The sequence below is a fragment of the Homo sapiens genome, chromosome 15, assembly GCF_000001405.40.
Source record: "Homo sapiens chromosome 15, GRCh38.p14 Primary Assembly".
In the NCBI taxonomy this organism is placed as follows: domain Eukaryota; kingdom Metazoa; phylum Chordata; class Mammalia; order Primates; family Hominidae; genus Homo; species Homo sapiens.
In genome coordinates this window covers 25765867-25777884 of record NC_000015.10, presented here as the reverse complement: position 1 = coordinate 25777884, position 12018 = coordinate 25765867, and the positions used below count along the sequence as shown (strand labels likewise).

The window sequence follows — 12018 nt, the reverse complement described above, 5'->3', positions numbered from 1 at the left end:
ATCCCAGCACTTTGGGAGGCTGAGACAGGAGGATTGTTTGAGGCCAGGAATTCCAGACCAGCCTGGGCAACACAGAGAAACCCCATCTCAAAAAAAAAAAAAGAAAGAAAGAAAAAAAATTGCCAGATATCGTGGTGTGCAGCTGTGGTCCTAGCTGCTCAAGGGATTGAATGGGAAGGATGGTTTGAACCAGAAGTTTGAGGTTGTGGTGAGCTGTGATCATGCCACTGCACTCCAGCCTGGGGGACAGAGACCCTATCTCTGTCTCCAATATATATATATGGGAATAGCTGATGAAGGGACAGCCACTGCCCCTGGCTCTGAGACAGAGTTCTCCCACTCAGGGAAGAGTACCCTCCCAACCCCTGAACCATGGCAGGGGGCACAGCCTTAAATTTGGGGATGGCAGGAAAGGTACTTAGGGGCTGTACTGGTGGAACTTGCTAGAAGCCTTCCCTTGGGGACCGGGGAGGCTATTGCCAGGGAGGTGCCAAGCATAAGAACTTGCTAGATGCCAGGAGCAGTTGCTGGACGCTGCTGGAGCCAGGCCCTCGCTGCAGTGGATGAAGACTGGTGACAGCTCTCTAGACAGCAGCGCCGTGGAGCCCCACCTTTGAGAGGGTGCATGGAGCAGCAGCCTGGGCTTGAGAGGGCCCATGTTGCCTGCAGGAATATGTCCAGGGTACCCCGGACTGAGAGATGGGGAAAGTGTGGAGCAGGCCAAGCCCTGGAGAAACCTGGAGGGAGTGGGCAGTGCGGAACGGGTACACACACACACACACACACACGCACGTATGCACACACACGCATGCACACACACACACACCCCACCTAAAGACCAGCCATGGGACCAATACGTGGAGGACTCAGGCCTATTCACCAGTGATGCCCAGTATGGAGCAGTGAGATGAGTCCAGGGGGCTTTTGTTAGGGGTTTGGGGCCATGAGAGGTCAAGGGAGGTTCCAGAAAGAGGAGCTTGAAACTGACTCTGAAGGCCAGGATGGAGAGGTCTCAGGTGCCAGGCACTACAGGGAATGACGTCCGTCAGATGGTGCCCCAGAGGCGGAATAGGGTTGTATTTAATGAAGAGCATTTGAAAAAGTGCGCAGTGTTGAGGGGCTACAACAAAAACCGGAAGGCGGTGGGCATGGCCCACCCAGACCCCAGAATCTGAAGGCGAGGCCTAGACACCGGGCTGATGGCTCCGGGACCTTAAATCACCCAGCTATTTCACTTCTGGCAAAAGAAACAGAGATCTTGAGACGTAAAGATTTGATGTAAGAGTTGGAGTTGAATGGATGTTATCCAAGAATTGAGAGAGGCCCCCGTGTGGAGCATCACACTGTCAGGCAATGTCTCACATTTGTTCAGCCTCCTGCACGCCAGGCCTACTGTATCTCCCACAACTGTAGTAGAGCAAACATTTTTAAACACAATTTCACAGAATTTTAAGTATAAATCTTGTGAGATAATGATTATCACACCAATTTATAGATGAGAAACAGAAAAAGTGAAGTCAGGAGATTCTCCCAAGGTGCCTCCCCTCCCCCACCCCATCCGTCAGTGTGGATTCGGAGCGGGTTCCTCCACTTTGCGTGGGGTGTCTGCTGTCTCTCACCTGCACATTCGTGCAGCCCTGCCACGAAGGTGCATACGTTCAGATGTTCTGTGGGTAGCAGTTTCTAGTTCATTTGTAACATTTGTCATTTCTGCAGAACTAGGAGATCCCTAGACTGATAATTTTATATAAAACTCAGTGTTTTCAAAGACTCATTTTTGTAAGTTTTAATTCATTCAGCAGATACGTACTGAGCATTTATTATGTTTCTAACGCCATTCTAGGAGGTGCATTGATCAAAACTGGGGAACATCTTTCCTGCCATAGTGCTTACATGATCTATGTGAAAAGTTGGATAGACGGTTGAAGTCTTCGGTGCTAACTGTAGACGAGAAAGCAGAAACAGGGATATGAAATGTCAGATGAGTGTTGGAATTTCAGCCGGGGTGAGGCGGGGACAGGGCTGTCCTGCTTGAGAACAGCTGGAGAGTCCAGACCCAGAGGACACGTCAGTGTCGGGAAGAGCCGTCCCAGAGGTGACTTCTGTGTGGGTTAATTTACTGAGAAAATAGTTTCCAACAGTTTGTCTCTTGGGTGGACCTGTTTGGATGAGTGCCCACAATCCCAGCCACACCCACGTCCTCTGTGCAGCGCTGTGGGGAGTAGTCATTGTCAGGCTTGCAGGAAGATCTGCTGCTGACTCTTCCCAGGCGTGTGCACATGTGTGCACGTGTGTGTGTGCACAGTGGTGCGTGTTCCAAATAAGGAAGAAAGATAAAAGGAGTATGGAAACTTCCTAGGCTGGACAAACACTGCTCTTAAACACGTACCTTCACAGTCAGGTCAGCAGTGATGCCAAGGCGGAGACAGGGTTTCCCCTCTGTTTTGTGAATACACTGTGACCAGTCCCTGGGGGGCCTGGTGTATTCAGGCTCTGACTCAGCACGGTTTTCTTTACAAAGGAGAGTCAGTCCCACCCCAAGTTACTTGACAGAATTCAGAAGCTTAGAAAGTGACTTCAAAAGTCCAAATATGTAGAAGACAAAATATTTTTTTTAAAAAACTGCTACCTACACATGCTTCCAAAATTGTCTCTATCACAGGAAAACTAGAAGTGAAAAAGTATAATTTGCAAGGTAGTTTTTGTACCCAAGTCTCTTTTTCCCTAAGCTTTTCAAGTTGTTAGTCTTTAATGAAATTTAGCTACATTGGCCGTGGAATTGAAGGAGGCAGCATAATCTATCATCTAAGTGGAAAATAAAGACAGCTGCCTGGGTATGGTAATTAGATCGGTCAGTTTTAAGCCTTTACAAAGAGGCTTCCATGTTTTTCTCTTATACATTCAAGGATAGTCAACAAGCTCATAATTTATACTGAGACATTTTTGTTTTTAAATTTAACAATCTCATAATTTTCTTGAAGGACATTAAATCTGTAACAGGAAAGACAGAAATAAATGACTTTGACAATACAATAACTTTATTTAGATTAAATTTTTAATTCTAACAAGTGTGGATATTCATAGAAATTCAGTTCTGTAGGTAATATGATTATTTGAGACATACCATGTTTTTTCATATTAACTGTGTTTATTTCATGGCAATATAAGTTTGGCCCGAAGAAGATTTTTTTTTTAAATTCTGGTGACTTCATAATGGATTCTTTGCCTTTAATTTATAGTCTATTAAATCACCATGTACAGAGAGTGCAGCACCAGCACTCTGATCTTTTTTTTTTTTTTTTCTTTTTGAGACGGAGTTTTGCTCTTGTTGCCCAGGCTGGAGTGCAATGGCACTATCTCGGCTCACTGCAACCTCTCTGCCTCCCGGGTTCAAGTGATTCTCCTGCCTCAGCCTCCCAAGTAGCTGGGATTACAGGCATGTGCCACCACTCCCGGCTAATTTTGTATTTTTAGTAGAGACGGGGTTTCTCCGTCTTGGTCAGGCTGGTCTTGAACTCTGGACCTCAGGTGATCCACTCATCTTGGCCTCCCAAAGTGCTGGCATTACCAGTGTGAGCTACCGCACCCGAACCTCTGATCTAAATGAATAAATTAATGCCATGAAGTTGATAATAATTTGGCTAGTCTGAAATATTTATCCAAAAAGATCTTCTTATATTGTGTGGAAACTTAAAATTTTTTGTGTGGTTGGAAATGATCATTTCTTATTCCAGAAGTAAAAAGACAGCCAAAGCAGTAAGATGTTTTAATTCTGTTCAAGGTAGCGTACAATGTGAAATGCTTTTTTTCTCTTTAACTATATTTTCACTGTTTAAAAAAAAAAACGGGAATTTAATAAAATTTCCAATTTTCCTAAATGTAGTTTAATTGCATCAGCAGTTGCAAAGGGTTTGAAACTTCCTCTGTGTGTATGTGTGTTTCTGGAGCAGGGATTTCCTTACCAGTAGGAAGAGGTGACAATGTGAGATCGACGCAGTTAACACTAGGCATCTCCTCATGAGTGAGTGAATATGTGTGTGTGTGTGTGTGTGTGTGTGTGTGTGTGGATGTTTAGGTGTGTATGTTTGTGTGAGTGTGTATGCAGACAGGTGTGAGTGCAAACATTTTTGCAAGTGAGTGTGCAAGTAAGTGTATGTTCCAAAGAAGAAAGCAAAATGAAGTGATATTGCTTTATTAGGTTGTCACTTTCTATTATCTCTAAATTTAGGAGAGGATAAATGTTCCCTCCTGGGCTAAGATATAGTGTTGCAGAAGTGGATTGCTCTGCAAGAGAGTGCTCCCTAGGGGAATCTGGAGTTTCCAATCTCACTATTGAGGACCTGCTGTGAGCCCATGCATTACGTGAGGGGTGCCCACGCAATCCACTTCTGCTGATTGGACTCTGGAACCTTTGTCCCTTGGTGGAGGCCCTGTGCTGTGTGTCATTTCCCTTCTGCTTGTTTTGTGAGCACAGCTTTCAACAAGAGGGAACTTCCTTGTGTCCACAGAGCACAATGCAAGACCTGTCAGAGCACCTCCGCAGACATTGGAGTTATCTTAATTTTGTGAATTGGTAAGAGCCAGCTTCCCTCGTTCAACCTATGCAATGCTTTCGGTTTGCGAGTGCTCCTCAAGTGGAAGGCTGTATTTTGGTTCTCACTGTGGTATTAGGGCTTCCTTAGAGTTTCGCCCGTCTACAGCAGCAGAGATCCATGAACACATTTGCAGTTTCATATAGTCACATAAACCAGACCTTATAAAGGAATCGACCTTTAAGGAAAGCAAGAACTCGACTTCAGGAAACACTATTGCCTACTGGGATGTGGATGAAACTGGGCTTCCTGACATCTCAGTTGGGTTTAGTGTCGAAATTAATTCAGGGCTTTTTCACCATTGCTAATGAATAATCCGTGTGCCAAGGAAATGACTTCGTGAACCCCAGTGAGACTTTTAACCAAGCTGAGATCAGGCCTGCAAACTTCTTCAATTTGTCAGTTTTCACAAAGCCCTTTTCAGTAGTGTGTCTGTCAGAAGGCCTTATGTTCCCCGCCTCCCAAAACTGTAAAAGGACAAGAAATGTGAGTGTCATTGCTGGCCACGCTGTCTTCCCTGGGGTTCCGGAGAGTGGGGGATTGGGTGCATGCCGGGGTGTTCATAGGTTAGGAATTGTGCCAGATCTTCAGGGTCGTTCCACTCACCTGTCACAACTGACCTTTGCCGCACTGGCACCAGCCCTTGGCGAGAAACAAGCCCTTTCATTTGTGTGGTAAAGAAGGCCAACTTCAAAGCATTATGGATGTAGGTTTGTTTTGGACAAAACTTCAAATAGCTGGTTTGCTCATCCGGCCTTTATCAAGCATTCTGGATTCTTGACCACCAGACAGGAAATTCTGCGAGGACAGACTCTGAGGTTGACATCTCCATCTCGGCCCAGTGAGCCTGCGTGGGCCACGGAAACCCCTCTCGGGGATTTTGAGTGTTGTTTTAAAGCTAAAAGTGGGCAGGGAAAGGTTTTGGGTGCAAAGTCGGGTTCTGAAGCTGAGATCAGACTGCCGCAAGCATCAGAGACGTCAGGGCCTGGTGGGTGGGTGGGGGACGTTCGGAGGAGAGAGCCCTACCTTTTCTGCAAATCTCCTATGGACCAGAGATTCAGCCACAGCCCAGAACCTGGAATTGGGGTGGCTCTGAGTCAGTGTTCAGAAAGCTAGTAACCCTTGATGACTGAAATGAGTGACTGAGGCAGAAGTATCAATCAATTGAGGTTTGTTAAGCCAGCTTTAGGATGTGTCCCGGTAAAATAGGAATCACAGACTGATTTCTGAAGAGGTTTTCAGGCCGGGCGCGATGGCTCACACCTGTCATCCCAGCACTTTGGGAGGCTGAGGCAGGTGGATCACCTGAGATCAGGAGTTCAAGACCAGCCTGGCCCACATGGTGAAACCCCGTCTCTACTAAAATACAAAAATTATCCAGGCGTGGTGGTGGGCGCCTGTAATTCCAGCTCCTTGGGAGGCTGAGGCAGGAGAATAGCTTGAATCCAGGAGGCAGAGGTGGTTGCAGTGAGCCGAGATCATGCCACTGCACTCCAGCCTGGGTAACAGAGTAAGACTCTGTCTCAAAAAAAAAAAAAAGGTGGCTTTCAGGAGGTGTAGTATTCATACATTTCCTTAAAGGAGGAGGAGGCACACAGGAAGAGGGGCAGGTAGGCAGCCAGGGAATGGTCACTTTCCTGTGAGACTTCAGTTGGTGTCCAGTAAATCCACATTTTTACATCAGACAAAGTCAATGTGTGAAGAGAAAAAGCACAGAGTCAATTATGCAGACATCTCTGGGTGGGTGGAGGGAGGAGTCTTGTCTTTGTTCTGTAGCTGGGAAGATAAGCCTCTAGTGGACATTATTAATGTGGAATCCAACAGACTTTAGTTTTAGAAGCTAGACTTAGATCGCAGACCTAATGTTTTTCTTTTTATTTTTTATAGAGATAGGAAGGTCTCACTATGTTGCTCAGGTTTCTCTTGAACTCCTGGGCTCAAGCAGTCCTCCTACATTAGCCTCTCAAAGTGCTGAGATTATAGGCGTGAGCTGCCGTGCCGGGCTCTTTGTGTTATGATTGGCATGTCCTTGTTTATGGGTGGCCAGCAAACAATGTCCTCATGAGTGATCCCGGGGGGCATGTTGTGCTGCACCCCTGTTAACCTCAGTGGGGAAGGCACAAGTCCAAGAGGCCGAAGAAGAGACCCAGAGCCAGCACTTGCAACACGGGGTTTGATTAGGGGCTTACACAGAGGGGAGAGAGTCTGGTGGTGGCGGGCTGAAAAGGAAAACCACTACCGCTTATAAACAGCATGCACTTTCTACAGCATTTTCACTTAACACCCTCCCCTGAACGACCTCTACCTGGAAGCCTTCATTTAACCCAAAATTCAGGGCCTCAATCCCCTGTGCGACCCGAGTTCCACAGGACAGGTGGGAGCTCAGATGTTTATCATAGACAAAGAACAAATCTCTGGGTTGGCCACGCCCAGATGTCCTAGCTCAGCACACATACTCAGGCACATCTGCCATGCAGAGTCATCCTCAGGGCAGGCTTGAGGTATTGCTGTCAGGTGCATTTGCCCTGCAGGGCAGCCCTGCAGAGATGCTGTAGGCCTCTTGCCTGTCCCTGGGGCGTTGGATGATGAGTAATGCCAGTGAGAGCGGTTCATCTGGAACAGGGTGTTGCCTGGCTCCACCTCTGGGCCTAAGTTTGGGGGTCCTGAGATTTATTATTTTCCTTTGCAACCCTCTGGTGAGAGTGACTACCCCCACTACTCCCTTCTCCTGGCTGGGTAACAGTGCCATCTGACACTGGGCACTTGCCTGTGTGAGGCCCTCATTCATTTAGTTCTCTTGGCAGCTCTGAGAAGGTGCTGTTATTACTCCCATTTAGCAAAGGAGCCACTGAGACTCAGAGGGAGTCAGCCCCTTGGCCTGCTGGGGTCCAAGTGAGTGGTGGGCCAGGTTCTGGGCCAACAGTTGGGGCGCAGGGCCTGGCCGTGAAGCCCCTCAGGGCCATCTCTGCAGAGCAGCGTCACCATTGCTGTCGCTGCTCAGGCTGATTGGGCTGGGCTGGGCCGATCCCCAACTGTGGTCAAGTCTGGAATGGCTGAAAACATGGGTGGGGCCCCTCCCCACCTCGCCCGGGTCGTGTTGTGATGGCTGAAAACATGGGTGGGGCCCCTCCCCACCTCGCCCGGGTCGTGTTTTAAATGCTCACCTCGTAGTTGGCTTGGGCTGCCATAACAAGGTGCCATGAATTGGGCGGCTTAAACTGCAGAAATTTATTTTCTCACAGTTCCGGAGTCTGGAAGTCTGAGATCAAGGTGCCGACAGAGTTGGTTTACTTGAGGCCTCTCTCCTGGGCTTGCAGGTGGTCGTCCCTCTGTGTATGTCTGTGTTCTGATCTCTTCTTTAAGGACACCAGTCCTGTTGGATCAGGGTCCATCTCAGTCACCTCATTTAACCCTTATTACCTCTTTAAAAACTGTCTTCAAATAAGGGCACAGTCTGAGGTATCCAGGGTTAGGATTTGAACGCATGAATCTGGGGAAGGTAGAATTCAACCCCTCACAGTGCAGGTTCGGAGTGAAAGTAACCGCCATTCCTGGATGGTGGCATCACCATGCTGATCACCTCAGATCAATCCATTTCACTGCATCCCAATTCTCTCCACTGTCAGGAAGAGGAAATGCTTTCTCATGATGAACCTACAGCTAGAAACTGCAGTTCCAGAAAGTTAGCTGAAGGCTGAGGCACCCGGGTAGGATGGCCACTTCCCCGGCTGGCTGCAGTGTTCTAGGAAGCTGATGGTTATGGTTAGTATATGCATGTCTTTTTTTTTTTTTTTTTTTTTTTTTTTGAGACAGAGTCTCCCTCTGTCACCCAGGCTGGAGTGCAGTGGTGCCATCTCGGCTCACTGTAACCTCCGCCCCCCCAGGTTCAAGCAATTCTCTGCCTCAGCCTCCCGAGTAGCTGGGATTACAGACGCCCGCCACCACCCCCGGCTAATTTTTTTGTATTTTTAGTAGAGACAGGGTTTCACCATGTTGGCCAGGGTGGTCTTGAACTCCTGACCTCATGATCCATCCGCCTCAGCCTCCCAAAGTGCTGGGATTACAGGTGTAAGCCACCATGCCCAGCCTATATGCATGTAAAAGTAAAAGCTCTGTGGATAACAGTGGATCAAAAGGAATTAGGATTTTACTATGGGGCAGACTTCGAAAATCTGATTAGAGTGTGTTTCAGTATTGGAGCGCGTGTGCATGCATGTGTGTGTGAGAGTCAAGGCACTAATAAGCAATGTCAGGACAGAAATTCTATTAAACATTTCCCTTAGAAATAGTGAGGGAAAACCTTTCAACCCTTAACTAAACTCTCCTTTAAAAGTTCTTAGCATTTCCTTCAAGGAAGACATAATTTCTACGGAAGCAATACGTAGTGTTTTTCCTGTTCCCTGCTTGTTTAACATTATAAAAGTAATCCAGACTTGTTTTACACCAGTAGTGAAAAGAGGGCTCTACCAGGCATGGTGGTTTACACCTGGAATCCCAGCACTTTGGGAGGCCAAGGTGGGAGGGCCACATAAACCCAGGAGTTTGAGACCAACCTGAGCAACAAATTGAGACCCTATTGCTACCAAAAAAAAAAAAAAAAAAAAAAAAATTAGCCCAGCTACTTGGGCAGGTGAGGTGGGAGGATTGCTTGAGCCTGGGAAGTTAAGGTTGCAGTAAGCCTAGATTGTGCCATTGCACCCCAGCCTGAATGACAGAGTGATACCCTGTCTCAAAAGAAAAAAAAAAAAAAAAGAGAGAGAGAGCTCTGCTGAGAGTCAATTAGAAATTGGAAACACAAGGCGGGACCTGGACCTGGACCTGGGTCTGGGGTTGAAGCACTTGGGGTGGACAGGATGGGAGTCCAGGTGCCCAGCCAGGAGCTTTGCCTCTCAGTCCACACTTGCAAGTAGAAGGAATCAGGAAGCACTGCTTTTCTTTTAAACAGACAATGCCATTTTTTCTCAGATTACATCTTTCACAGAAAGTCCACAGTAATGACTGTGAGCCACAGTGACAGGAGCAGTGGCCCAGGAGCCCCTGCCGCTCACCAGCCCACAGCTCTGGAGGCCCAAGCCACTGACCCTCCCTCCATCGCAGCTGCTCGCGTGCTGTGTCCTGTGAAGGGTCCAGCGGTTTCCTCGTCATGCCGGCCCAGCACTTGGGGTTCCCTCTGACCTGGCTGTCCCTCATCCAGTGCAGAGAACCAGCTGCCAAGTCCTGTAGATTCTGCACGTGCAAGTCCAGGAACCAGCCTCACAGGGGTGAGGGGACTTTGGGAGCCAGCCCTGGTGCGCCCGTTGGACCCCCTTGGCCCCATGTTCACCCCAGTGTCTCCCAGGTCAGGGATGCCCAGTGCCTGCCCATGCACCCATCCAGGTTGGCATGTTAGATGCGTCTCAGACAGAGGGCCCGCAAGGGTCCCATACTCCAGTGAGCACACCTACCTCTGTCTACAGCACAGTACTTCAGCGAGGTGACAGCGGCTGGGTCCTTGCTCACTGCAGTGGCTGCAGAGAACATCTGCCAGCACTTAGCACAGGCAGCTAGCACGCATTAGTTTTTAGCCTCTTAGTGTCTCATTGGCCGAGGTGGGATTCCCCTGAGGAGCTTTAGAAGTCCCAAAGGCCTGGGCTCACCCCTGCATTCTGACTCCCCTCATGTGGGGTGGGCCAGGCACTGGGGTGCTCCAGGCTCTTCTGCACTAAGAACCACCACGCTGAGATAAGTACAGTTGCTTCCCTATTTTACAAATAAAGGGATCCAGGTCTGGACAGGTCAATGGGCTCACCCTACTATGCAGCCAGTCAGAGGAGGGGCTGTGCTGCAAACCCAACATTGGGCTCCAGATCCTGTTCTTACAGCACTCCCCAACCCCATGCCTCTCTGCCTGAGCCCTGGTTCATCCAGGTCTCCCAGCAGACTCGCTGTCCGGGATGTGGCGCAGCCTCCATCCATCCTCTGCTTCCTGGTGACAGCAGCCTTGCATGGCACCCCCTTCACCGTCTCAGGGGTGCCACAGCGTGTCCACCCATCTCCTCTCTGCAGGAAGCCCTACGTTCTGCTGCAGCACCTGCCAGAATGATGCACCAAAATTGCAGTTCTAACCTTGGCACTCTCAGGCTGAAAGGCCTGCAGCGGTGAGTGTCACCTGTGAATACCATGGTAAAGTTAGGGAATGGCTCTCTAGACCAGAACAGGCAGAAGGGAATTTGATTGCTGCCCACACATCTGACTGTAATGTGCTACGTAGCGGAGCAGCCCTCTTCAAAGAAATTGCTGATGCCAAGAAACCAGGCAGGGCAAAGTGTGTGTATGTGTATATGTCTGCCTGTGAATGTCCATGTATTAAGTTATATGGGGCCCATTAAAGTTTTTTTTTTTTTTTTTTTAGAAACAGTTCCACTAGTTTAAAGTATGGACAAAACCCCGATTAGAGTATTTTTCGGGAGTTTTTTGGGACTGGTGCCTTCTCAAGCTGCAGCTCTAGTCCCCGTGGCACCTAGCTGTGTTCTAGGATGTTTTGCTGAGGCCCGAGGAGCGCTTGCAGGCGGCACAGACACTGAGCTCAGGGTGCTGGGATGGAAGCGGCTGGGTTGGGGCCTGGAGGCAGTGTTTGAGCGTGTGGTTCCTCAGTGCATGTAAGCACCACCTGGCCCTTTCTTGTCACCGAGAACTGCCAGCAGGAAGATCCAATTACAATAGAGGCTGGTGGAGCTTCCTGCCCTCCTCACTTCTTCTGCTGGCTCAGAGGGAAGCCCTATTTCAGGAGGGGTGTGGGCTGCTGGGCTGGGCCTGGGGAGGGAGATGCTGGTGGAGCATTTGGGGGCTTGAGGATGTTGGGTCTGAGGGCCTGACCACAGCACAGTGAGACACTTGATTATACAGGCAGGCTACAGCATGGCATGGAGAGTGAGCTTTGGGGTCTGCCTCCTACATTTGCTAGCTTGTAATCCAAGAACATCATTTGACCTCTCTGGGCCTCAGTTTCAGTATCTGCTGATATGGTTTGTCCCCACCCAAATCTCAACTTGAATTGTATCTCCCGGAATTCCCACATGTTGTGGGAACCAGGGGGAGGTAACTGAATCATGGAGTCTGGTCTTTCTTGTGCTATTCTCGTGACAGTGAATAAGTCTCACTAGACCTGATGGGTTTATGAGGGGTTTCCACTTTTGTTTCTTCCTAATTTTTGTCTTGCCGCCACCATGTAAGAAGTGCCTTTCACCTTGCACCATGACTCTGAAGCCTCCCCAGCTATGTGGAACTGTAAGTCCAATTAAATCTCTTTTTGTTCCCAGTTTTGGGTATGTCTTTATTAGCAATGTGAAAACGGACTGATACATCTGCAAAATGGGAATGATGTCAGAGGTCCTTCTGGCCTGTCCTTTGCACTGCACCTGGCAGGTGGTGAGTGCTCAGAAGGGTG

At 48.7% G+C, this 12018-nt stretch overlaps 1 protein-coding gene across 9 annotated transcripts in view, besides 1 other annotated feature; it reads left to right on the top strand.

Moving 5' to 3' along the window:
• Positions 1–12018, top strand: part of ATP10A (ATPase phospholipid transporting 10A (putative)) — a 192852-nt gene that overhangs the window by 87204 nt on the left and 93630 nt on the right. The gene's annotated exons all lie outside the window — the stretch shown is intronic.
• Positions 7612–8113: an enhancer, noted in NCBI's record as "H3K4me1 hESC enhancer chr15:26014919-26015420 (GRCh37/hg19 assembly coordinates)". NCBI's record gives its function as "activates a minimal SCP1, AML or CMV promoter by ChIP-STARR-seq in naive H9 embryonic stem cells {active_cell/tissue: H9 hESC(naive)}" and the evidence as "EXISTENCE:reporter gene assay evidence [ECO:0000049][PMID:30033119]".